Here is a 26,787-nt window from a genome sequence, read left to right as displayed (position 1 = left end):
TTTAAATTTTGGACCTTCATTCATTTCTTCATTCATTCATTCCTCCCTTCATTCATTCATTCATTTCAGAAACATTTCCCAGTCTCCTCCTATGTGCCAGGCACTGTACTGGGCCTGGGGATGTAAAGGTGATGAAAAGTAGGTGCCGTCTTTGTCCTCACAGAATGTGGGGCAAAGCCTCACTGGTGGTATTTGGCTGGTTATTTTTCTGGGCTGGCCCCTCTCCGCCTTTCTCTGATGCTCTTTCTTTCCATCTGTCACGCACTTCTTAAAGCTTTTTTTGCTTTTTGTTTTTATTTTTATTTCTGATGAGGAGTTTTTTCCCTTCTTTCCTGTTGGGTCTGTGATCATGGAGCTACAATAAAGATTCCTTGGTAGAAAAAGTTGATGTAGTTTTTTTTTTTTTTTTTTTTTTCTCCTGGCTTTGATTCTGCATGATGCTAAAGCCTCTGAATAAGTCAGTCTACATTTCACTACACTGGTGCTTTTTGAGCTTGATGTAGGCAAATGTCTGGGCATGACCCTGGGCAGGTGCTTTGTTCTTCCAGGACCTCAGTTTTCCAAGCTGGAATATAAGGCAGCCAAACTCAATGGGTTCTGAATCCACCTTTCAAATCTAATGCTTCATGGTTCTAAAATTAAATAATGGAATATTTCATCATGGTTTAGACCCCCAGGGTCTAATTTTTTGATCTGTGAGGTGGGTACAAAAATGTATTAGCCTCCCAGGAACATTAGTGTTCTGAGAGGAATCCAGAAGCTTCTAAACATGTCAAATGCTTATTATTATAGACAAGTTTTATTCTTTCCCATGTCAATGGGGCAATAAGGCACAAGATGAGAGGGAGCCCAGTGATAGTCCTGTTAAGACACGTGCTTCCTGCTATTTACATTTTGCAGCTCTGGCAGAGTACTGGGTATTAGGAACTCAAAGAGTGATTTCATAAAGAAAAAAAAAGTGTAGTTTATACCAAAATGGAATAAACCCCCTTTTGAGTAACAACAATCTGCATAAATGCTTTAAGAAAGCCTATAATTATGATAAAAATGTTGCTCAAAGTTAAAATTATGAAGCAATCAAGATTTATAAACAGTCTCTCATCGACTTTTAATCATTCTTTCTTTTTTATATACAAACTGTACACAATATATGCTTGTAATATATCATGCTATACATTTTATTTTCAGTAATTTAGCCGAGCAAAATATATATGAGGTGACATTGAGAAACTAGGTTATATATGCACGTGATTATGGGCATGTAGCTGCTTCCAGTGTGCACGCACGCATGCACACACACACACACACACACAGTGATAGCTATGCATCTTTTTTGGTATCTTACACAGAAAAGATGCATGCTTTTACTGTATCAGAATCTCTTTAAAACTTTAGTATAGCTCCTTTTGCAATATTTTGGAAAAGTATGTCATGCATATGAGTATTAATACCCTTTTGCCAAAAAATTTTAATTACTGGATGACTAAGGGCAAAATTGACCAGATTGATCAATATTTGTCTATATTGGGCAAAAATTGCCTCAGTTGAGTAGCAGGAAATAAACAATATGGTGACCATGTGAAGGGCTGACCTAGAATATGAGTTTGTAAGTGCTGTGTTTGGAACTTTGCGTTGAATGACTTTAAAATGTTTAAGCATACATTGAAGAAGTTAACATAAGGAGACCCTGATAGCAATAGACACTTGTTAATTGGCAGGTTTATGTCAGGGATCAAAAAACAATTCTAGAAAGTTTTAGGAATTGCATGAGTGTGGTGCCTGGCACCTAGAACTCCTTCCCTGTAGGCCGTCCTTTTCTGCTAATGTCAACTTCACGTTTGTTATAATACCCTCTAGCATACTAGCCCAATCCACCTAATTCTAGCTTCTTCACTCAGTTGGTCCTAGCTACATAAAATGAAATATATTAGAGTGCAAAGAACTAACTCGTAGGTTTAAAATGACTTTTTAGGTAAGATTTTATCATCCGAAGATTTGAAAGAGAAAGATTTAACTATTGAAACTCTATTGCCTCAACAAATAGTGACCTAGGATACATTGATTCTTCCCAGGCAAAGATCCTCAGCTGGCTCTGTGTTCTCTCAAAGGCGTATTATTCCTTCTCTCCTGAAGGCTCACCCATGAGAGCCGTATCAGCACCTGCTGGAATTTTGGCTCCTACTTGTAAGAAGACATTTCTGAACTTGATCTTGTTGCTGGAAATGTCTCCGTGGAATTCCATTTCACCGCAGGTATAACCTGAGATCTTCCAAGGTCTGCTGGTTTTCCAACCTCATCTTCAGCTTCTGTTTCCAGCCCAAGGACACTCAGTTCGCTCCTGCTGCGGGGCCTCCTTGCCATCTGCTCTTTGTGCAGGTCCCCTGTGCGCACTCACATATTCAAAGTCTCCCCTCAGCCTTTCATCCAGCCCACTCATCTCCCAAGCCACGTGTTTAAAGAGGCTTCCCCCCCCCATCTACATTAGGGTGCTCAGTGTTATTTTCTCACTGCACTCTCTACTTTCAGCACACAATATCTATCATAATTTAACTACAGACTTAGATTTGTGGTTGTTTCATGTCTATTTTTTCGCATGGACTGTCTACTCCATGAGGGCAGGGCTCATCACATTTGGCCCACACTGTGCCTAGTGCCCAGCACATTGAATATGCTCAATAAATACTTGTTCGATGCACGCAGATCAGCAATGATGGGTGGCTGTCTATGGTGGAGAAACTGGTATTGAAGTAGTGCCCAGCAATAAGCAACTGTAAAACCTGACAAAATATATGAGGTAACCGTTTTCCAGTGGTGGGCAATAGGTGTTCCCTAAGGACCTGTGAATGAAGGAAAATTCTGGAAATGAGCCCCTGCCCTGGTCTCTGCCTGTGAACAATTTCCCGGCCATGGCCAGGGGGGGCTGGAACCCAGGGAGAGTATGGTGGTCCCTCTGAGTTGGGAAAGCAGAGGTCAAAGTTTGAAGCACCTGAAGCAGCTGGAATCCATAGGGTCTAAGAGTAGAGAGCAGAGAGCCAAGTAACAAGATGGTCTGTGGCTGAGGGCTGGGCTTCCCATGAACAAGGCAGAAATAACCAAGGCTTATCGATAGAAGCTGGCAGGGGATTGAGAGTTAAGCAGAAAAACGGGAGGTTGAGCAGTGGAGTGCTGCCAGAGTTCCAGTCCTGTCAAGGCGGAGAGATCTTAATGCCACTTTAACACCTGTGGTGTCCAGATGAGATGCCAGATAGACTGCCACAGGTGGTGGGATCAAATGCTAGTGTAAGACCACTCTAGTCCTGCCCTAACAAAACCTAATATCAAGCTCTGCAAAGACACACAAAGGATATAGAGGTTGAAAGGTAAGTCTGGCAAAGTTGGAGGGGCTTGGGAAGCACTTTGGACTTCCAGAGATATGCTCACATTCACAGAGATCATTCAGTGATTGAACTACCTGCTGTCATAAGAGTCAATAACGGAAAAAGGAAGGTACCAAAATCCAGAGTCTCTACAGCATTTTATCCACGAAGTCAGTATCAGTGGAAAAAAATCACCAGACAACTAAGAAACAGGAAAATGAGATTCATAGTCAAGAGAAAAAGCAGTCAAAAGAAACCAGTCCTGGGATGGCTCAGATGTTGCACTTGGCAAAGATCTTAAAGCAGCTTTTACAACATGGTCAAAGAATTGAAGGAAAATATAGTCTTAACAAGAGAACAGATTGAGAATCTTAGCGACAAAATGTAAATGATAAAGAACCAAATGGAACTTAAGAATCTTAAAAGTATAATAACTGCAATGAAAAATTCACTAGATAGGCTTGACAGCAGGTAAGGAATATCAGGAGGAAGAGTTGTTAATTTGAAGACATCAGCAGATATCATCCAGTAAGAAGAACAGAGAGAAAGCTAGAAGGAAAAGGGGTGGAGCCTCAGGGACCTATGGATAATATTAAACCGCCTAACACACATGGAATTGGAGGCCCAGAGGAGAAGGAAGTGATATTGGGCATCACCTTTTTGGTTTTTTCTTTGGCTGGATATGCCAAATAATGACCAGATACTTACCTAAGTTGATGAAAAACATAACTTTCATATCCAAGAATCTAATCAAACTCCAAGCAGGAGTATGCAAAATAAAAAGACAACCATACCTAGGCACATTGTAGTTAAACAGATAAAAAAAAAAAAGATAAGGGAAAAATCCACACATACAGGGGTCTAAGTGGACCCCTGTACAAAATACAAGGAGGCCAGAAACAACGGAAGGGCATTTTTACAGTGATGAAAGAAAAACCCCACAAACCTGTCAAGCCACAGCAATTCTGTATGAAACAAAAACCTCCTTCAAAGAAAGGCTGAAAAAAGATCTTTTAACATCAGTGAAGGCTGACGGTATTCCTAGCAGAGGCCTGCGTTACCAAAATTCTGAAGGAAGCCCTTCAGGATTATGGGTACTGGGGAAGAAATGAAGAGCAGCAGACGTGGAGGAAGGTTGTTCTTCTTCCTGTAATTTACTTGAAAGAAAATTAAGTGTTTAAAAAGTAAGGCTCCCCTTTGGAATTAGTGTCGGCTTATCAGATGCCCAAGGATGTCAAATGCCACCACGTCCTTGGCTTCACTAATTCCAGCAAACTGAATGTTTATTTACAGGCGAAGCAAAAATGAAAGACAGGGCGTGAAACAACACAAGGTTGAGAATGATGTTTTATCACAAAGCAAAGGGAAGCTCTGGAAGTCAGTGAACTTTCAGGATACCTTGCCAACCATGAGTTGTTAACCCAATCTTCTCAAATTTCTTGAAGATGAAATGCCTGTTATCTTCCAGTCAGAAACTAGGTTATGTAGAGGAATTATTGAGTTCTTCAAAAATACAATAAACATGCTGACTTCTCTGTATTATTAGGTTGTTTCTATGCCTATTTCTCAATCTTCCCAAGAGTCCTTGAATGCATTAAAGACAAGGGACAGAAATGTAGAGGGAGGAATCTGGCTCATTTTTAAAATGGAGATTTGTTTGCAACATAACCTGAGTATTATCTTTCATATTGCTGCCCAAGGGCATTTGAAATAATTTCTTCTTAAAAGAGGTTCAGGGGAAAGTCTTTAGAGCTGAAGAGTTACTTGACTCTGGGCCTCTCTGTATAATGATAAAATAAAGATGCATTTCCTTTGAGAATTAGAAAAAATAGTAGCCAAACATTCACTCTAAGACTTATGGGGTTTTTCTTCCTCCCTTCCCCTGTTTTCCATTCTCTCCTCGAGATAATTTACTATTTGTAGTTATGAGTCCTCCATTTTAAATGAATTACAATCTGGAATGAAAGAAAGCATGTTTCATCCTGAAATTTAATACTTGAAAAAAAGAAGTACTTACATCATTCGAATAAATGTAGTATTGCCTGTGAAGACATCTAGTTTCTCTCTCTCTCTCTCTCTCTCTCTCTATATATATATATACACACACACACATTTTTGCTACTTAACATTGGAGCACATTTTTGTTTTACCATCCTCATAGCCTTGGAGGTACAGCACGTGCACACACACACGTACACACACGAATACACACGTACACACATGCACACAGGCACACATGCATGCACACATGTTCACATGTGCACACATGCACACATACATGATGCATCATGCATGTACACACACATATGTACACACACACACATGTACACACATACACATGCATACACATACACACCCAGAACTCTTTCATTCTCTTTTAATGAGATCGACACTTACCAAGGTCTTGTACTTGAAGCCGTGTTCTCTACCTTTCTTCCTGCCCTCTATAAAATGCTCTCTCAAAAACTGAAATTCTTCGCATCAATAAAAGCATCTGAAAAAATGTGTTTTATGTGCCAGCTGGATAGTAATTTGCAGGGATAGAAAATATTGTTAAAAGGGCAATGCTGAACAAAACGTACATCTTATCTAACTTATGTAGACTTATGTTTGCTTATATTTAAAGAGATGATTGGCCTATGGTTGGGCGTTCTTTTTTATTTGCACCATTACTGGATTTTTCTCATGTCTCCTTGATGTTATTCAAGGGCTGTCCATCAGAGCTTTGTATCTTGAAGATGAAATACTCCATGACCTGTAGTGTGGTCCCCACCAGGAGCTCCTGAGAAACGCTGAATCTTGGGCCCCACCCCATGCCCACGAGTCTGCATTCTAAAGGAATCCTGGGAGGTGCTCCCCCAAAGCATAGGTCGACAGATTTTTCTACTAGGTTGATGTTTACTCAGATAGCTTTAGAGAAAAACAATATTTGTACTTCTTTGTGGCAGGCTTATGCAATGAATCCCTAGAGAAGTGAATAAGGATTTGTAATTATTGTTTTGATACTTTTCTGGAACGTGTGTTTATATGCAGTGTTTCACACAAAAAAGATTGATTATTTTATATTTTACAGTAACGATAAAAATGCATTATGGTGTTTCTCCAAGTCCACTATCTAAGACAATTTGTGAGATATTTTAGGGTCACACTACTTTAAATGCTAGTTTAGCATGTAAGTACTTATTTAATGTCTGGTTACTAATTACCATCCCATGCTGCTTTGTCCTTGCTAAAATATAAGCTAGTTTTACTGATTTTAAAAAATGTAAACTTGCTCTCAATCCTATGTACTTCCTAAAATAATTGGACATTTGGGTTATAACTCTTCTGTCATTTTAACATTGAGGAAAGTGAAGGAGAATTGAAATAAATATCCATGAAATGCTGGTATGGGTTGGGAAGCAGGGACTTGAGGGTACAGCTGAAGACTAGAAACAGCCTCTAAATTAATGTTACGTCTCTCCTCTCTGGATTTCTTAGGCCATTATTTACAAGCTGTCAAATTTTATGGTTGAAGTAATTTGTATGAACTATGCACTGAAAGCACATTTTATCCATTGATTTCCTGGCAGTTCGTGGTTGCCACTCATCTCCTGAAGAACACTTTCTGCTTTCACAAAGCATAGATTAAAATATCAGTCTTCAGTCCTGTCTCTAATGCAGAGATAGAGAGAGTAGGTTTTGAGGTTTCGTTTCGTACTGCTACTCCTCCCAGAGAGCTACAAAAGCAAATAAAAATCTTCCCTACAGGAAGATGATGATATCCCAGGCCTCAAATTATATGTTCAAAAATTTAAAAAATTACTGTGCCAGTAGATAGTGGAAGATGGCCAGAGACAAGGAGACCAAACACCATTAAATGAGATGAAACAGAAATAAGAGACTCCAAAAACAGAACTACAGTGACTCCAGACACTGAAGCCAATAGATGAGGTATGCATTATATTTAGTATATAACAAGAGATTAAGCAAAGCTCTGAAAAAATGGTCAGGGAATTGGAAATCCCAAAAGTAAAACAGAAATTTTTAAAAACTCTGAAGAAAAAAATAATTAAGAAGTCACTGGATAGATTTAAGATCAGATTAGATACAGCTAAAGAGAGAATTTGTGAACTGGGAGACTGTTCAAGAGTAAACCTAAAAATCATCATGGAGAGATGAAAAAGGAAAACCTCAGAAGTAAAAGTAAGAGACATAGACTATACAGTGTGAAAGTTCAACACACACTTGAGTCTTAAAAAGAGAAGAGAACAAGAATGGAGAAGGAAACATAGTTGAAAATATAATGGCTGATAATTTTCTAGAACTAATACAGCAAATTGAAATACAGATTCAAGAAACCTGGTATGTCCCAAGTGGGATAAATGAAAGGAAATTCATAGCTGGGTACGTTAGAGTGAAACTGCAGAAACCCAAAGGCAGATGAGACTTATAAGCAGCCAGTGACGGCAGGCAGACTACCTTTAGGAACAGTGTCTTCCCCAGCTGGCTTTCAAACAAAAGTAGACACAAGAAAATCATGGAGTGATGCTTTCAGGCAGGGCTGGGGCAAGGGCAAGGAGATGAGGAGCCTGCCTCTGGTGCACAATTTAAGGAGATGCCACAACACTGAGTCATCAGGATGAGGAGTAGCTCTCGACTGTGCTGGAAGAGCCTGCAGATGTCGCCTTTACTCCCAGCGTCAGGGGAAGTAGCTGATTCAGGAGTTTTGAAGCAATAATATGGTTAATCAAATATGAAGGCCCTTTTAGCCTAGGAATTTTGCATGTTTTTTAACCAACCTTAACAAAAATTTGTGAAAGAGCAGAGAAAAGGAAAAAAAAAACCCAACTCTACCACCTTAAATAATCATTTTTATATGACCCTCCTGATCTTTGTTTGTATGGATGTGGTTTTCCATAGTTGTACAGTTGGGCCTAGAAAGCTCCATCCATGTGTCCCTGTCCAGCTGGGAGGTGGGACAGCTCCTTTCCCTGCTCCTGGGAGGGACTATGACAGCATGGGGTGTCAGTTTCCCAGGGCTGCTATCGCAAAGTCCCACAACTGCTGGCTTCAAACAATAGAAATTTGTTGTCTCACAGTCTGGAGGCCAGACGTCTGAAATAAGGTGTCCATAGGGCTGTGCCTCTCTGGGACTCTTCTGGGCAGGGTCCTCCCTTGACCTTCCCAGCCTCTGGCAGCAGTGGTCCAGCCTCTGTGTTTCATGGCTGCGCTCCGGCCTCAGCCTCTGTCTGCACATGGCATCCCCTTGTGTGTCTCTGTCTTCATCTCCTTTTGGGTCTTCTCTTCTTACAAGGACTCGGGCATATTGGATGTAGGGCCCTTCCTACTCCAGCATGACCTCATTTTAACTAACTCCATCTGCAAAGGCCCTATTCCCAGTAAGCTCTCATTCTGAGGGGCTGGGGGCTAGACTTCCAAATGGCTTTTGGGGGACCCAGTGTGACCCATAGCAGACAGCAAAGCAGAGAAGGCAGCAGTTGACAGCCCTCAGCCTTCTCTAATCCTTGCAGACTCCAAGTGAGACCACTGGGGAGTCTTTTTCTACTCACTTCAATATAACACCTTGTTAGGCTGGAGATTCTTTTTCGCTGTTAAGCTGAATTCCAGTGGTTCATCTTCCTAGTAAATAAAAAAGTGTGCTAACTTCACAGAAAACAGTCCCAATCTCACATGTTAATTCAATTCTTTGTTTTTCCAACAGAAAGTATTCTTCCCCCCAGCCCCCGGCATCAGCCTAAATTAAACTTATGCTGTCTTAAGAGATCTAAGGATTCTGGGGACTCTGAGTCCGAGGAGGAGTCTTAACATGTTCTCAAGTAAATACCATAGATCTTTCTGAGAATGCAACTAGGAATATCAGTGGTTTCACTGGTCTTAAAGTAATTTGGTCTTTTAAAAAAGGTTTTAAAGGTGTTAACATAGCCAAAGGTCAAGCTTCATTTCAACAAATAGTTGAGCCTCTTAGTGAGACAAAGCATGCTGTATGTTTCCATGCATATGCTATAGTTTGTTTGAGATTTACCTTTTTTTGCATGAAAAAGTGAGCACTTGTCAATTACCCACTAGGAAAGTGTTGTGATAGAGAGGTCATTTTTCAATAATTGCCTGAATAAAAACCATTTATGCAACATGCCATTTCTGCTGCATGTGTGCCAACAGGCAGCACAGCTTGGTGAGGGACCTCCCCTCACTCCTGTCCCACCCAAAAACAGTGCAGTGCAGCATGGATTTGGATTCTCTAGGAAAGAAAATGCTACTAAAGTTACAGTTGCTAACCTTTACCATACTCAGTCTCTACAAGGAATGCGATATTGCTTGCTTTTGCCCTATGAGATTTTAGGTGTATAAAGATGAAAGAATCAATCAATTCTACTTTCAGTTTTCCTCCTCTGGGTAAATGTCACTACTGTGCACTGGGCTGAGACTTCTTTCTCTTCCTGCCCACCTCCCACCCCTCAACAGGACCTGGCAGCTCGATTCCTAGTTGAAGGAGCACAGGGCTGTGGGTGACTGGTGCCGGCCAGAGGCTTAAGCCCAACCTATGGGCCGGGGCCACAATAAAATATGAGGGTGGGGCCACCAGCAAGTCCTTCTGTCCTGGAAATCACGGAGGTGTGAGAATCATGGAACTGCAGCTTCCCATACATTTTGGAAGGGAAGAAACACATGCACCCAAACCTACTTTTGGTGGCTTCGTTCTGCACCATAATTTTGTGATTGCCGTGGGTGCTGACGCAGTTTGTAACTCCACATTCTCATGCTGATGCTGATACAGTTTCACCACTGCCCACAGCTGGAAAGCAGGGACTTCTGGCACCAAGTGCTGTGGGAATGATTTCACACAAGCACCAAATGTTGACGCCTAAGATTCATCTTGGTCAGTTTTATCCGTTTCTCTTCCATGAACACATTCACGTGGAATCCACCCAGATGGCATGAGGGTTTACTGAAAAATTTTTTATGAATCTGCTCATTTTTATCACCATGGAACTGTATTTAAAGAAGATAAATTATTTTTCTTTGCATTCAACAACCCCAGTTTATCCCCCAAGTAATCAGAGAGTAATTCAAGGTGATCGAGGGTTTAGCCCTGAGCTTTCTTGATGAAGGAAATGTTCTGTGTCTGGTCTGTCCCCTGCTGTGGTCACTGGCCACACATGGCTGCAAAGCACTTGAGGTATGGTGAATGCAACAGAGGAAGTGCATTTTTAATTGTATTCAATTTACAGAGCTGCTGCTTTGAACTTCGCAGGTGTAGACGCATTGAGGCTGGTGTGGTTGCTTATCTTCCTAACAGAGCTCCTTAGCAGGGAAAAATATATTTTAGATTTCCTTCAAATCAGTGTTTGAAACACTTGTAATAATTGTCATTCTCATGAAGGAAATTCATCCTATTTTACAGCAGAAACACAGGAAACCAGGAGTTATGGAGACTGGCTTAGGATGTAGGAGGATTAATTGATTTTTTTTTGGTCGATGATTATAGATGTAAAAGTGACTCAGTTTCTTGTTAATTCCCCAGGTAGCTTTTACTGAGACCCTTGCTTGAAGTAGGAGATCCAGGCTCTGGAGATGGAGCCGGGAGAAATTATAGCCTCATGCACACAGGGCTTGCTCCATGCTCCCTCCAACTGCCTCCCGACTCCTGATGCCCACCCCGTCTAGAAAGCTCTTCCCTCCGACACACAACATGCGTGTGGCTCTTCCCTTTGCTCCTTGCCTCTCTGCTGGAATGCCCCTCATCTCAGAGCTGTCCCTGCCTAACCCCCGCTCTCACTCCCTTCACCCGCTGTGATTTTCTACAAAGCACAGATCACCATTGGACATTGGCACGAGGTAGCCTTACTTGCTACTGGTGTGTGGGGGTACATTTTGGCCAAGTGAAGCTCAAGACCCCTGCTCTGCAGCCAAGCAGAAGTGTTGAAGAGCTGCTATACGAGACATCTAAGGAAAGGGAGACAAGTGGGAGGTGAAGCTGTCCTGCAGCTGAGAGAGACCACTGGGAGAGTTGAGGGCCGCTGGAGGAGGAGCAGTGAGGGGCACTGCATAGGTGTGCCCAGGATTTGGAGGTCAGGGAAGTGAGGGAGAACCTGCAAAGGAGACTGAGAAGGCAGAGAAGCAAGAGAGGGCTGGATCCTGGAAGCTGGTGAAGAAATAAGGATAACTTTGCCCACTCCTGACAGAGAAGTTGGATGGAGACAGAATTGGCCGTGGACTCAACTGTGTGGAGTCAATTCTGGGGACCTTGGCAAGTGCTGCTCAAGTGAGTGCTGGTGTGATCAGCAGAGAGCAGGAGGAGGTGAAGTGGAGACCTGGCACAGGCCAGCCTGGAGGGCTTCGCTTAGATAGGGAGGCGGGAACTCCATTATTTATAAAAGCAGATGGCCAGCATGCGCAATGCCATTTGCAACTGGGATATCCATGGTGACGCTGTGATTTACTCACATGTGATAAGAATGTAGTTGACCCAGCGTATGTATGTAGATTCATCCTAAATAAATGATTGGATTAGGAGTTCCAAGATTTTTGCCTTATTTAAAATATATGCTAATCACTACTCAATATACATCTTTTCAAATCAATCTATTTGAACATAACAAACTTAGGACGGGAAAATAGCATCAATAAGCCCAAATCTGAGTGATGCAGAGTGTGAGGGGGGCTGGAGAGACATTCCCATTGTTTTCTCCCAAAGTTACATTTAGATCCAGAAAGAATTTTGCTTACTAAAAAAAGAAATCCCAGAATCCTCTTTCAGAAAATTTTGAAATAGGATTAATTTAACCTTTCTAGAAGACTTCAAGACATTTCAAGATGGACATTTTTGTGCCAGTAGAGAAGTTCCTGCTGTCTCTGATACTAAGAAAGAAAACCTTCTCTGCCTCAAATTTGCCTTAGAAAACACCAGGCAAGCACTACACTTTGATGCCTAAGATCCATCTTACTCAGTTATCAGTTTCTCTTCCATGGACATATTCATGTGAAATCCAGCCAGATGGCAACAGGGTTTATTGCAACGATTTTTCAAATTTGAAGTCATTTTATTTTTCAAATTTTTCAAATTCTAAGCCATTATATTCGAGCCATTCAAAATGGCTTCAAAAATACCAAGGGCTGTTTCTGTAGTCCTGACCACCGAAGACCGTCCATCCCACCCAGAAAGGCGTTCTGGAGGTCGGAGACAGAGCTGGGCAATGAAGCCTCCACATAGAGGTAGGAGCTGTGCTCATCCCTGCCTTCTACTGCTGTAAACAGAATGGCCCCCTTCATCGTTGACCAGCTATTGCTGGGTCTTTCCAAATGGCTCAAGTCATGCACACAGCTCCACGGCTCACGGGTAGCAGCAGTTCCTTTGCCGCGGGTGCCCTGGTAGACGCAGTCAAGCAATGGTTCTCATCCCGTGTTTGCTTGTTTGACCAAACAACATAAGGTGGAAGAAACGACAGGACGGCTTGCCCACAGCCGGAGAGAACACGGTCCGGCCCCTCTCTGTAGAGCAGCCATGGATCCGGGAGACGGAGGTTTCTGAGACACCCTCAACTCATGAAAGAGCCCCGCACGTGTGCCAAGTGATTCCCAGACAGAAACGACGACGGGGAAACAATACCGAGGTATAAACTTACGCATTTTCATTGTAGGTATATTTCAGCTTTTGGTTTTCAAAGAGTCTTTTGGATCCCAGCAGAGGCAAAAAGACTTAGATAAATAGTTTTCAATGCCATGGTTGAAGCCGTTATCAGTAGGTTTGGGAAGAACGCCCTCCTTATATTTGATATGGACTCGCCTGGTCAGACAGGAGCAGAGGCACACTCGCACGGGGAAGGGAGAAGGGTTTAAATAAAGGAAATATTTACAAATATGTGGGTAGAATTAGGGAGAACCAAGAGCAACTAGGAAGCCTCCTGGGGCTGGTGTCAGCGGGTGGGCACCGTTGTCTCCCCTCAGCAGCAGGGAAGGGGAGCTGACCTGGAGACGCTGAGAGAGTTGCGTCTAAGAAAGGGCTGGTGGAGACGCGGAGGGAGCTGGGCCTGAGGAAGGGCTGCGCGCCGTGGCCACTGGTGGAGACGCGGAGGGAGCTGGGCCTGAGGAAGGGCTGCGCGCCGTGGCCACTGGTGGAGACGCGGGGGAGCTGGGCCTGAGGAAGGGCTGCGCGCCGTGGCCACTGGTGGAGACGCGGAGGGAGCTGGGCCTGAGGAAGGGCTGCGCGCCGTGGCCACTGGGGAGACGCGGAGGGAGCTGGGCCTGAGGAAGGGCTGCGCGCCGTGGCCACTGGTGGAGACGCGGAGGGAGCTGGGCCTGAGGAAGGGCTGCGCGCCGTGGCCACTGGTGGAGACGCGGAGGGAGCTGGGCCTGAGGAAGGGCTGCGCGCCGTGGCCACTGGGGAGACGCGGAGGGAGCTGGGCCTGAGGAAGGGCTGCGCGCCGTGGCCACTGGTGGAGACGCGGAGCTGCTGATATGCAGCCCCAGGAGAGACTAGGAGATACAGGTCCCAACTCCCCACTTTTCCTGCCCTCCAGGCCCCTGCCATCCTTCCCAGTGATCAAACCCACCCCCAGGCCAGAATCCCCTGGAAATCAGCTTCCGGGACTCAGAAGAGGGTGGAGGACAGGGGAGGGTGGAGAGGGGACGGCAGGGCCGAGTGCAGAGTGCTCAGTCCGGCCCTGCGAGGGGAGCTGGACTCCCCTTCCCTCCCTTGGCGCTGAGTGGGGTGGGGTTGGGGACATGATGTACACCCTAGGATTCAAGAACACGTGCACACACGGCCTGCGCGGGTGCAACTCTGGGGATGTGACGGCCACACGGAAGCATGTCCGGCTCTCAGGCCTGCTGTCCAGGCAGGCAGGGCTGGAGGCAGGCCTCTGAGTCTGGGCATCTCCGGGTGGCCCTGGAGAGCACTCTGTGTCGATCTTGCCCTGAGAAGGGTGCGTCGGTGCGGAGCCGTCACGGTGGGCCTGGCCCTGCTGCTGAGGAAAATGCAGGGCCCCGGGCTACGTATGGGTAGTTGCAGAGCTTCAACTCTCATTTGACAAATTTCAGAGAGATCTCGTGCACTCGGAGCCGTTTGCATCACTGGGGCCGTTTCTAAGGCGGGAGAGGCAGTGCGACCCCCACGCAGCCACCTTGGGAAAGGCAGAACTACCTGCCCGATTGGCTCTCAGCAAGGGCCTCAGATCCTCAACACGTGGGCCGAACGCCCCTGCCACTCGGTAACTGGGTGACCCAAGGCAAGCTACTTAACTTCTCAGCTTCAGCTTTTCATCTGAATAAATGGATAATCTTATGGTGAGAATCAGCACTGTCTCTGATCCATGCTAAGCATCAAGAAATAGCCTCTATTTTGCTGTTGGTTCAACAGGAACAAATCTGTCTTCCAATAATAAATGCAGTGACTGGCACGTTGTTTGAAGACATAAACCTGATATCATTAATCTGCTAGATTTCTGACCTTGGGAAAATCTCTGGTTCTCAGATGGTTTTATCAGTGGAATAAAGTATTTGGACAGGACGAGATAATCTGTAGGCTCCAGTTCTGATATGCTCTGCATTACAGGGAAGGACAATAGGACCACTTGGCCAGAGGACACTGAACAGGTCCCTTTAGGTCTCTAAGACATGAGGGAGAACCGCCGGGGTATGAAGGAGATGAGAGATGGGGCAGAAAAGATGAGTCCCAGATAAGAAGCCCAAGGAACAAGAGACCCCTGAAATGGGGACAGGAGGGCAGTGGCTCATCCTCTAGGTTGGGGACAGGAGGGCTCTGGGTCACCCTCTGGGTTGGGGACAGGAGGGTTCTGGGTCACCCTCTGGGTTGGGGACAGGAGGGCTCTGGGTCACCCTTTGGGTTGGGGACAGGAGGGCAGTGGCTCATCCCTCTAGGTTGGGGACAGGAGGGCTCTGGGTCACCCTCTGGGTGGGGGACAGGAGGGCAGTGGTTCATCCTCTAGGTTGGGGACAGGAGGGCTCTGGATCACCCTCTGGGTGGGGGACAGGAGGGCAGTGGCTCACCCATTAGATTGGGGAGAACTTTTCTCTTGGTTCTTGTCATGGTGCTGGAAGCAAGTATGTTTCCCTGTTCCTGGGACCCAGACTCACACACACACACACACACACACACGGGTGAACAGGGCCATGCTCCAATGTGCTTCTGCTCCCCTGAGACCCTGCAAGGAAGGAAATGCGGAGCCCTCATCAGACAGGCCTTAAGGGTCACTGCTTCCCGCTTCTCCTGGCAGATGCCCTGAGGGTACATGGGTCATTCTGACCGTCTGCAGGTTCCAGGAACTAGGCCTCCTTCCACAGGGAGAAGGACATTCCACCAGCAGGGATGGGGCCGCCAGGGCAGCAGAGACCCTGGGCCTGTCCTGGAGAGACAGCTCCTGTGGCCTTGCTTACCACAGGATCCCAGACCTTCACACACTAGCGGCCAAGGTACAAATAACTCACTCATCCCTGAAACTTTATGCAATGAGAAGTCAGTCACTGCTTAGACTCCAGACATAACACTAAGGCCTAGATTAAAATAGCTTTATCCAGCTGTTCGATTTCCATCTAAGGCCAACGGACTTCTTTAGGCAATGAGTAGTGACCAAAAAAAGAAAAAGGCAAAAAATTAATATTTACTTTTACAGTCTCAGATTCCACAGGGACATTGTTCAGGGGAAATCCCAGGAGTCTCCTGGAGAGGGTCAATGAATGAGTCTGGGTCTGGGTCATCTAGGAGTAGTGGAACCCGAAACCAGATTGTGTGCCAGAGGCTGCTTCCAGGCGGAGCAGCACCACAAAGCTGCCCCTAGGTAAGAGCCTGGGATTCCCGTGGGATTTGGAGAGCGCAGGCATGAGGCACGGGCTGAGATTGACCCTGCGAGCCAAGTTATTTCCTCTGCACAGCAGTACTGCATGTGCAAAAGCTGGCCTGTCTCCATCTGGAATCTGAACGTCAGAAATGATTCCTGGGGTTGCTTTTTTATTTTAATGGGTCATAAGGAGAATTCCACAGAAGAGGCTACAGCAGGAGAGCCTGAAGCGGGGGAGAGGTGACGGTCACGGGGGATTCTGGCCATTGTGCCAATGCGCTGTGAGTGACGGGGGACCCTGGGCGGTGAGTGCAGACAGGGGTGTGGGACTGCTGCTTCCAGATACAAAATAGCTACTCCCGTTGCAGCCCAAACTGGAGTCAGCATCTACTGGGCCTGCAGGAATGAACGCCTTACTAATGACCATGAATTCAGAGTGCGAGGAAGAACCAGGCCTGTTTAGTATTGGGGACATTCCAGATTTAGGGATATGGAGGGCTCTGCTTATTAGGTCATGGGCTTTGTCCATGTGGACACACATTGGGTTGGAAATGGCCCTTTTCACAAAGCGTGCCTTCTTTCCTCATCTGGTGTGTCTTCCTCGACCGCAGAAGCTGGAGAGCTTGCAGGAGCCACGGTTCCTGACCCCTCTGCAGCTGGGATTCTGCACGCCACTTCCATTTCCTCACTAGCTTCTCTTACCTATGGAGATGTCAAAGCAGAGGCTAAGTGGGCGCCATCTCCTTGCTGCAGGTGGTCATCTCCTGCTACCTGGAGAGGCTGCACCGTCGGACACTCCCACAGCACCGCCCCTGCACCAGCAGTCCTGTGTTGAGGAGCGGGTTTGTGTGGAAAGGTGGAACACCCAGCTGAACGGCTGAGTGGCATTTGCAGCTCCCTGATCCTGGTTGTATGTCTTTGACCTGAATCTGGTGGTTTTGGTGCACCTGATTCCCCATTTTCAACTTGTGGCAAAGGCTGTCAGTGGGTCAGGTCTTTGGGGTTCTAAGAGCCAATCCTGGAGGTCCCACCAAAGCCCTGTCTGCCAGCCCTGCTCCAGGGGGCCCTCAGCTTGCCCTGGAGCCCCCGCGGTGGTTTCTGTTTCTTTTGCTGAGCCATCAATGGTACAACTCACTGTTCCCCGAGGAAGTAGAATATCTTTGTTCATTTATTTATTCCTTCATTTGTTGATTCATTAGTTCTTTTATTTAACTATAGTTATATAAATAACTATAGTATATTAGTTTTTATTTAACTATAATATAAAGAGTTAAATAACTATATTGTTAAATAAAAGAACTATTTAATAGTAATAACTTTTATTACTAACACTGAACACCTATGACTTGTAGGTGCTTTCCCAAGCTCTGGGGACATAGAATTAAATAAGACTTAATCATTGATGAGATGACAACCTAGTGGGGGACCCCAGAAGACAGCCCTTCCATTGAACGTATCCCAGGCAATGGTGGAGCCTGGTCCTGCTGGGCGCAGAAGGTGGCTGCCAGGAAAGGTTTCTGGGAACTATCCCAGGGGGATAATATCAGGACATTTACACAGAAGCACACTGGTAAGCGAGAGGCTCTGTTAGGGGGCAGAGTGGAATCTTGGAAGGGCGAGGCTGACTTTCAAAGGCTTCATGAAGGTCATGCTTGAGCAGAGAACTGGAGGGAAGAAGAGCTGCAGGTTGGTGGAGAAAAAGGAAATGACAGCCATGGCCATGACTCACTGTGCTCAAGAGACCTTTTTAACTCTTCCCTCATCATGGGGCTCAAGGGCGAAGCCATCAGAAGCAGCTGATTCTTATGCCAGGCTCTGGTCTTCCCTGCAGCCATCGTCTTCCATCTCCGCAGGCCTCCTGGGTTGCAGCCCGGGATCGGATTCCAGGCCACAGGAGGGGCTGCAGCGGCGCCTCTGAGGTCCTTTCTGCATTTTCCTCCACCTCTCTTCTCTCCACCAAGTTCAAATCCTCTTTCCACTTTCACGAAGCTCCCATGGGCTCCTGTGAACCAGGTCACACCTGGGAATTCCTTTCCGAATTCCTCATGGCAAGCCCAGGCGGACACCTGGTTCTGGGCCCACTGCTGCAGCTGTCATTGCTCTGTGTGTTCTCACTCGGCCCTTGATGGCCAGCCCTGCAGAGAACCCCTGTCTGTCACGATTTCATCCTGCCTGGCACGTCCACACTGTGTGGGATGACCACGTGCCTGATTACTCAGCATAAGCCACTCACTTCACAGGCATTTGCTGAGGCCCTGCCACGCACCAGCATGGATGTTACATTGAGTAAGAGGGAGGCCCTCTTTTCTGTTCGCATGGACTTGGGGAATCCAGGTAATTACCCAGGAGGGTGGTCGTCCGGTGCACATAGCAGAAGGGTGAACAATTTAATCCAGGTGATGAGAGCTGGCATGGGGCTCTTTCCTCGGTGTGATGAGAGACCAAGGGCCTCTGACACCAACAGCAGCAGTAGGTTGCTGGTGTCAAGGAGGCTCTAGGGGCACCGTCTCTGCTGACACTCACGGCGGGTGTCCCTGCATCTCACGGATGAGGAAACAGAGGCACACACAGGCTCAGGAAGTCACTCAGGTGTGCAGGTAGGAAACAGAGGAGCGAGGATTTGACCAAGACCTCCATCCAAGTCGCGAGGCAGGAAGAGCTCCCAGGTGGGCTGTGGGGAAGGGAGAGGGAAGAGCAGGTGCAAAGTGAGGAGGCATGGGACACAGGAAACCAATGCAAGTTGCAGGAGGATGGCTCCCCATGCCTCGCAGAGTGCAGGGTGCATGGCAGGCACCCAGCAACGCTGATGCCCTGACAGCCACAGTGGCTCCGGGGTGTCTGCCACAGGTTCTGAGAGGAGCCATGGGTGAGAGCAGAAGGCTCGCGGGCTGGGCGTGTCTCACACCTGTCCAGATAATCGCGCTGCCGCTTGTGGTGTTGAAACCTTTGGCAAAACCTAACACCCCGAGCCTCAGTTTCCCCAGCTGCAAATCAGGAGTAATATATGTACTTTGTGGCATTATTTTGTGCGTAGGAGACAGTATGTATGGAGCAGTAGCATGGTGCCAGGTAAACAGTGGGTGCTCAACAAATGTGTACGGTTAACATCCCACACTCAGCACACAGCTCCCCAGGGCCCAGAGAAGCCCTCTGGTGGGGTGAGAGCCACTCCCGCAGGACCGGTCTCTACCATAGGCGAGCATCCCCAAGCCGGCGCTGCCGTAAAGAACTCTCGCGCTATGGATTTCATTATTCGCATCTTACATCTTTCTGGTAAGTGATAATGCTGTTTGTTATAACTCATTAAATTGAATAATCAGCAAAGATCACAAAACAAGAACAAAATTTACCCACACATGGTTCTCTATGGGTTCACCTCTCCCTGTGGGAGCCCTAAGGGAATTTACTGAATTGAGTGTTTCCTGCTTTCTGAACTCCATAAACCTTGAGTTAACGTGGACCTGCGGGAAGGGCAGGTGGAAAACAGCCCCCATTTCTGAAGGATGCTGGAGTCCATGGCTGCGTGTCTCCAGCAATCTCATGGGCCTGTGCACAAGCTTCTCATATGTATTGACGGCTTTTTTTTTTCCCACATGCAAAGGGGTCCCCTCCTCTTGTACTGACCTCCTGCTCTCTCCAGCCAGGCCTGTGAGCAGAGGAGGAGTTGCAGTTTGCAAGATGCAGACAACAGTCTTCTCAGGGCCCAGCCCAGCATGGCTTTGGGACGCATAACCCTTACTCTCCCAGGGAGCAGTAACAACAAAGTGCACACACACAGCCCGGTGAGTCCACCGCACGCAGAGCTGTGCTGAAGCTCCCCGTTGATTTTAGCTCGTGGGGTTTGGCAGTTGCATTTTGCTCGGACTTTGACTTCATTTGAAACTCCATGGTGGGAAAATATGTCAATCAGATTGTTTTCTTGAGAATGAGGCCTTTGCTAACAGGCATAGAAATCTAACCTGCGTGATGAAATAAGGCAGTTTCTGCTGGACAGATGGGGTGAAGTTTGGATCTTTAGAAACTCTGGGAAAATTTGAACAATAGTAAACTCTGAGAATCTGCTGAGAATTCATCTCTGTCGCCTTCTTGCCGGCGGTTCCAGTTTTGGGGGAATGAGTCAACAATTCTGTGTGTGGCAGTGAGTGTTTTCAGAAGGTAGCCATCCACCTGGACCCTTCTCCCCCAGCCTGTTCCATTCCCCATGGCTCCAGCCACACCCTCAGGTGAGAGCCAGCATTGCTACCATCTGGGCCTATCTCAGGGACTGGTGCCCTCTCAGGCACGATTCATGAGTTTGCTTCTTGAAATTCACCTGCTCTTTTAAACGACGTCCAACTCACACCAAGTCTTAATGGAGGTCCTTGTCATTTACCAGATGTTTTGGGCAACCTTGATGCCCAGCACCAGGGTTTCTGGGCTTCTCTCTATGTCGTATCAGGACAGGCGTCTTCGGTCTCTGTTCCAAATTATTGGCAGTTTTCTAGGGACCTGGTGTGGCAGAGAGAAACTGAACACTGTTGTAGGGCTGACTTAAGTCCTGCAGAACAGGCAGAATACAGAGGCAATGGGTTTGCTGGGTCGGATGTAGAACAAAGGTTTCAAGCGTAAGGGACATTGGTTTTTGGCCCTCACCCCCGCCATCACCACCACTCTGATCCATGCCAATAACTCGGTTTGGGTGCAGAAGCTGTTTTTATTGGGAGGTTCATATGTAATTTGCTGTCTCATATTTGCATACACATATTTCCCCCCTAGACAGTTCTAGCCTTCAAAAAAGAAAGGAGACTCTTCTTGTTCATCTGATAACATCACTTCTTAAAAGCATCAGTTTCTTTGTATGTTTTTGAGGGAGCTGAACTACCTGCTCTGTGAGGCATCCCCCAGTCAGCAGCCTGTGTCGAGGGACAGGTAAGACCCTGTGAATGGCCTTCGCTGGTCATGAAACATCTCGTCATGGTTGATTTACTGGGGGCAGCGTGTGACTTTGGGGTTAAATTTTCCTGGGATATTTGGCCAGCTGTGCTCCAACTGGGAAGTGTCTGCTGGTGCCTGCTAGTCTCTGGTGCACAGGACTTTGTCGCCCTCTGAGCTGGCCCCACACAGCTGACCCTCATGGCTTCCGACGCGCTGACCACGCCAGCCCCCGCTTTCCTTCCCAACCATGCTGGTTTCCCTGACATCTCTCTTCACCCGGTTGGCCCCGACTTCAACAAGGCCCTCTCCTGGACACCACCCCCGCCCCCACTCCAGCCCAGGTCCTGCTCACTGGGCAGCTCGGAAACCGCTGGATGGAATCTCTGAAGAAAAGGACACTCAGGACAGTGTGAGCACAGCAGAGCTGTGTAGATGAGACCCAAACAACTGGCCATTCATCCATGTGTGAAAATAATGTAGACATGGCCCTTGAGACAGAAAAGGATTAATCCACAAACAAAACCAGTTAATTTTATCCTATAAGCAATGCCAAAAGTTTCAGGAGATCTTAAATCTTGCAGAATAACTTGCAAGGTCAGTTTGTCGTTTCCTTCCTGAGATACTGCTCCTCCTTTTTGAGAACCTACCCATCCTTCCAAATCTTCTGCCGAGCTCCCACCAGGCAGCTGGGTGGAAACGCTTCTGCACACAGAGGCAAAGGTTCCGGTGCCTATGAAGGATCCACTGAACCTGCAGGTCCCTGACAGTGTCGATGGTGGGGATTCAACACCCAGCGTCCCATGGAGAGACTCCTTCCTTAGGGCCTCTGTAGACACTCACGGCATTTCCTGAGTGTAGCTCAGTTCTCAGGAATTTCTCCCCCCCGTTCTCGGGAGAGCACCAGACCCGATGGCGCAGCGGTGCTCCTGCCTCGGCCAGTGGACAATGCTGGCTGCTTTGCTTGCACTGGCCCATGGTGCCTGCGCTGTCCTCCCTCCTGCTGTGCCGTCCTCTCTCCAAGTTGTCCTCCCTCCCGCTGGGCCGTTTTTCCTCCCTCTGGTCCGTCCTTCCTCCTGGTTGGGCTGTCCTCCCTCCTTCCTCTGGGCCATCCTCCCTCCTGGCTGGGCTGTCCTCCCACTCACTGGGCTATCCTCCCTCCTGCTGTGCCGTTCTCCCTCCTTCTGAGTTATCCTCCCTCCCTCTGGGCCATCCTCCCTCCTGGCTGGACTGTCCTCTCTCCTGGCTGGACTGTCCTCTCTCCTGGCTGGGCTGTCCTCTCTCCTGGTTGGGCCGTCCACCCTCCCTCCCTTCTGGCTGGGCTGTCCTCTCACCCTCTGTGCCATCCTCCCTTCTGGCTAGGCTGTCCTCCCTCCTGGCTGGGCCATCCTCCTTCCTGGTGGGGCTGTCCTCCCACCCACTGTACCATCCTCCCTCCTGGCTCGGCTGTCCTCTCTCCTGGTTGGGCTGTCCTCCCTCCTGGCTGGGCCATCCTCCTTCCTGGCGGGGCTGTCCTCCCACCCACCGTACCATCCTCCCTCCTGGCTCGGCTGTTCTCTCTCCTGGTTGGGCTGTCCTCCCTCCTGGCTGGGCTGTCCTCCAACCCACTGTGCCATCCTCCCTTCTGGCTAGGCTGTCCTCCCTCTCTCTGGGTCGTCCTCCCTCCCAGCTGGTTCATCCTCCTGCCTGCTGGGCCATCCTGCCTCCTGGCTGGGTCCATGCCCCTGTGCCTTCAGGAGACACCCCTGTGCCATGGGGCTGGCCCTGTGCACGTTAGAGCCACCTGCACCCCACATCCTCCTGCACGGGTCCCTAACTTCCCACTTAGCCTTCAGCTGTATTTTGGGTGGGCTGCGAGGAGCTTTGATGCCTTTGTGCCACGCATTTCTCGCTGCTGTTCAGGATGGACCCACATGTCCCTGGCATTTTGCCTTCTCACCCTCATCCCCTCTCTCCCAGCTTGGGGTTCTGCAGGCTTCTTTGCAAGAAGGACACAGTGCAAGCCTTCCCATGTCCATTTGCTGTCACCCACCTCTCCTGCCGAGGTCAGTGCTAGGTCCCTCCAGTGCTGGCCACACATCTATGGGGGCCATCTGTCCCCGACACGACTCCTGGGACCCCAGGTCTCGGCCTGCCCCCACCCAACTTCTGGGACCCCGGGTCTCAGCCTGTCCCCACCCGACTTCTGGGACCCCGGGTCCCCAGCCTGTCCCCACCCGACTCCTGGGATCCTGGGTCTCAGCCTGTCCCCACCTGACTCCTGGGACCGTGGGTCTCAGCCTGTCCCCCACCTGACTCCTGGGACCCTGGGTCCCCAGCCTGTCCCCAGCCCTGCTGATCTGGGCCGTTGCCGGAATGCTCTTTCTACATGCCGATCTTTCTAAGTACAGATGGGCCAGTGCGGCCTGGCCTCACACTTCTCCTTGGCTCCCCATCCATTTCTCCAGGATAAGGCCCAGACAGCATGGCTTATGGCCCTTCCATCTGCCCCTACTGAGTTCTGCTTTTCTCAGTGGCTGAATTGCCCATTTGAGGATTCTGTAGAGCAGCTGGGAGTGGGTTCCACCTGGGCTGCCCTTCCCCTGCTCTCAGATGTGGACCCCGCAGGGAACTGGCGGCCTCTGGGATGGGACAACCACACCCTCCGTTTCCTTTCTGCAAACCATGGGCTGACTCCTGTCACACTCCCAAAATGGCTGTGGTTTCTCTTTCTCACTCAGACTGTAAGTCCTTGAGGACAGATGTCAGGCCTTATTGCTCACCCCCCTCACCTCAAATCAAGTCCGAGGGTCTCTGTGGGAACATTTGGAAGATTTGCAACTCGTTCTGTAAGCCTGCAGCTCAGGGATGCAGGCACCCGTGGAGACCCTGGGAGGGAGGGTCTGTCTGCAGCCACCTGCTTTTCTGTGGAGCCCAAGAGGTGGCCCCACCAGCCCCACCTGTCCTCCCGGGGGTGTCCTCCCAAGGGTCCCCACCTGTCCTCCTCCAGCAGAGGGGCCCCTCAGATCCGCTCCATGTGATGGGTGCCTTCCTCCGGCAGGACTGATGTCTAAAGCTGGCTCCTGTGGGAAGCTTCTGGAGGTTCCAGCCCCCGGGGGCCTGGCCCTTGCTCAAGGGGTTCCTTGGATGCAGGGGTCTTGTTCCCCTCACCCTCCTTCTTCAGGCAGCCCCCTCTGCTCCTGGGCGAAGGGCAGACGCCTCCAGCCCCTTGTGCTGAGGCTTCCTTGTGCCTTCAGTTGACGGAGCTTCTCTCTTGCTCCGTGGCCCAGGGTGTCCACATGGCCTTGCCTGACACACTTGACAGCACAGGTGGCGATGGTGGGGCCGCTTCTCTGGGCCCCACAGGAAGCGGGGAGGGAAGAGCTGAGGACAGAAGAAATAGGGGAGGGGCTGGCCACAGCCCCCCACTTCCAGGCTTCCAGGCTGAATATGTGAGGTGCAGCGGGGAGGGACGCTTCAATGGTGGATGAATTTTAGAAGGTAGTGGGCCAGGACATTTTAAGTACAGAAGTGATTCTTGTGGCTGGGAGTGACCAGAGGACTTTACATTATCCCTTAGGGTTGAGAGGTACTCCGAGGCTGCAGGTTTCCTTCCGGGAGGAAGAGCGAGCCGCACCTACTTAGGGCTGCCGGAGGAGGGGCAGCAGGTGCACACAGACACTTACAATTACAACCCTCAGCCTTCTGCCCAGGATTCTCAGCCTCCCTGGGCATGTGAACCCACAAAACAGTGATCACCATGGATGTGCTACATGCATAGCATTCTAGTTAGATTCCTTTTTACCCCAGTGTTTTATTTTGAAAAATTTCAAACTTACAGAAAGCTGAGATAATAATGTAACGAGCACTCTAAAGTCACCAGTTGCTAACGCGTTTCCTCATCTGTATTCTCTCGCTCTCTATATGTGCGTGTATGTACATGCGTGAAGTTTCGTTTTGGATCCACTGCTTGCTAACCCGTCTGAGAGCAAACCATGGAATCAGGGCCCCTTGCCCCAGCACTTTTGCCGGTGTCATCCAAGAACATGGACCTTCTCTGAAATAACCACAATGACACGCCAAGCCAAGCAGCTCAGCATTGATTCAGTGTTGATGTCGCATCAGCTGTCAGCACTGTTGACTCAGCGCTGTACCTCTGGTTATACAGTCTCTCTCCAAATGTCCCCAGCCATCCCAAAAACGTCCTTGGTAGGTTTTTAAGAAGACAGATCCACAGGAGAATCTCACACGCCCCTGCTTGCTGAAGCTCTTTTGTTTCTTTTTAATCGAGAGCACCCCCGCCCCCTGCCCCATCTCTTTTGCTTTTGCATTTTTGTGTTTTTGTTTTGGTTTTCATGACATTGTTGGTTTTGAAGCGTTCAGGTCAGCTGCCTTATATATGTGTCTTAAAACCAGTAGCCCTCATAGATACAAAAAACAAATTAGAACATTTAAGGAAGAAAAGACCCCCATTTATCACAGCAAAAATAACAGCAGCAGCAAAAATAACAGCAAGAACCAGAAGTAAATTCAATGAGGAATTGGCAAGATCTATGAGGAAAGTTTTCAGATACCACGGAGGTGCACGAAAGACCTGAACACATAGAAAGACACACTTTTCTTGACGAAGAAGTCTCAACACCATAATGCTATACATTCTCTTTAGGTTATCCTAAAAACATAATATGATCCCAATAAAATTACCAACAGTGATTTTTTTTGAACCAAGCAAGCTAATTTCAAAGTTCATGAGGAAAAATAAGTAATAGTAAAGAAACTCTGAAAAGGAAGAGCAGTGCAGGGCCCTCGCCTGCTGGATATGAATCACGAAGACCCAGCAATGAAAGCGGCCCGGTGCCGGCTCGCACAGGCGGAGGCAGGTGGGACAGAGGAGAGTTCAGGCACAGAAACTAGCACTGTGGGAATGAACAGGTGAATAAAGGTGGCAGCTCGAGTGAGAGGAAAAGGTGTGATTTTCAATACAACGTCGAATACCTGGATTTTTCTGCTACTGGGCGGGGGGAAAACACCTTTGGATCCCCATAGCACAGCACACTGGGGTGGACTGCAAATGGGTCAAACAAAAAAATGCAAGTGAGAGAAACCGTGATGATACTAGATAAAGCACAGGAAAATCCCTTATAACCCGGATTGGAGAAACTAAGACTCAAAAATTCAACTGGAGTTAAAAGAAATGCAGCTCATATCACAAAAGACGAATACCTCTCACATATAAAGGGCCTTACAAATCAATAAGAAAAAAACAAGCCAGAAAAAAATGGGCAGTGGAAATGAACAAACTGGCCCAGAGAAGGGCAAAGGCAAATGGCTCTTAAATACAAGAGAAGACGCTCAGCTGACTGAGATACCGTTTCTTTCACTTAGAAGCTCAACCAAAATGAAAAATTTGGACAATATGCCCTGCGGTGTGGGAAGACAATATGTACATCGTGGATGAGAGTGCATGCTGAAGGGTGATTCAGCGATATCTATTTAACTACAGATGCAAGCCTACCTCTGGGGATGTATCCTAACGATACACCTTCATGGGTGTAAAGGTATTCATTATGGCATTGTGTGAATAAGCAAATCATTAGAAACAGCCCTAGTGATATGGTTTGGCTGTGTCCCCACCCAAATCTCATTTTGAATTGTAGCTCCCATAATTCCCACGTGTTGTGGGAGGGACCCAGTGGGAGGTAATTGAATCATGGGAGCAGTTTCCCCCATACTGTTCTCGTAGT

At 47.9% G+C, this 26,787-nt stretch overlaps 1 long non-coding RNA gene across 1 annotated transcript in view, besides 1 other annotated feature; it reads right to left on the bottom strand.

Moving 5' to 3' along the window:
- The window catches only part of SOX1-OT (SOX1 overlapping transcript), a 135,706-nt gene that overhangs the window by 57,341 nt on the left and 51,578 nt on the right, over positions 1 to 26,787 (bottom strand). The window lies entirely within an intron of this gene.
- Positions 22,070 to 22,570: an enhancer, noted in NCBI's record as "H3K4me1 hESC enhancer chr13:112682419-112682919 (GRCh37/hg19 assembly coordinates)". NCBI's record gives its function as "activates a minimal SCP1, AML or CMV promoter by ChIP-STARR-seq in primed H9 embryonic stem cells {active_cell/tissue: H9 hESC(primed)}" and the evidence as "EXISTENCE:reporter gene assay evidence [ECO:0000049][PMID:30033119]".

This window comes from Homo sapiens, chromosome 13 (assembly GCF_000001405.40).
Source record: "Homo sapiens chromosome 13, GRCh38.p14 Primary Assembly".
Taxonomy (NCBI): Eukaryota; Metazoa; Chordata; class Mammalia; order Primates; family Hominidae; genus Homo; species Homo sapiens.
The sequence above is the reverse complement of the archived record's forward strand: the minus strand, read 5'-3'. Positions and strand labels throughout refer to the sequence as shown.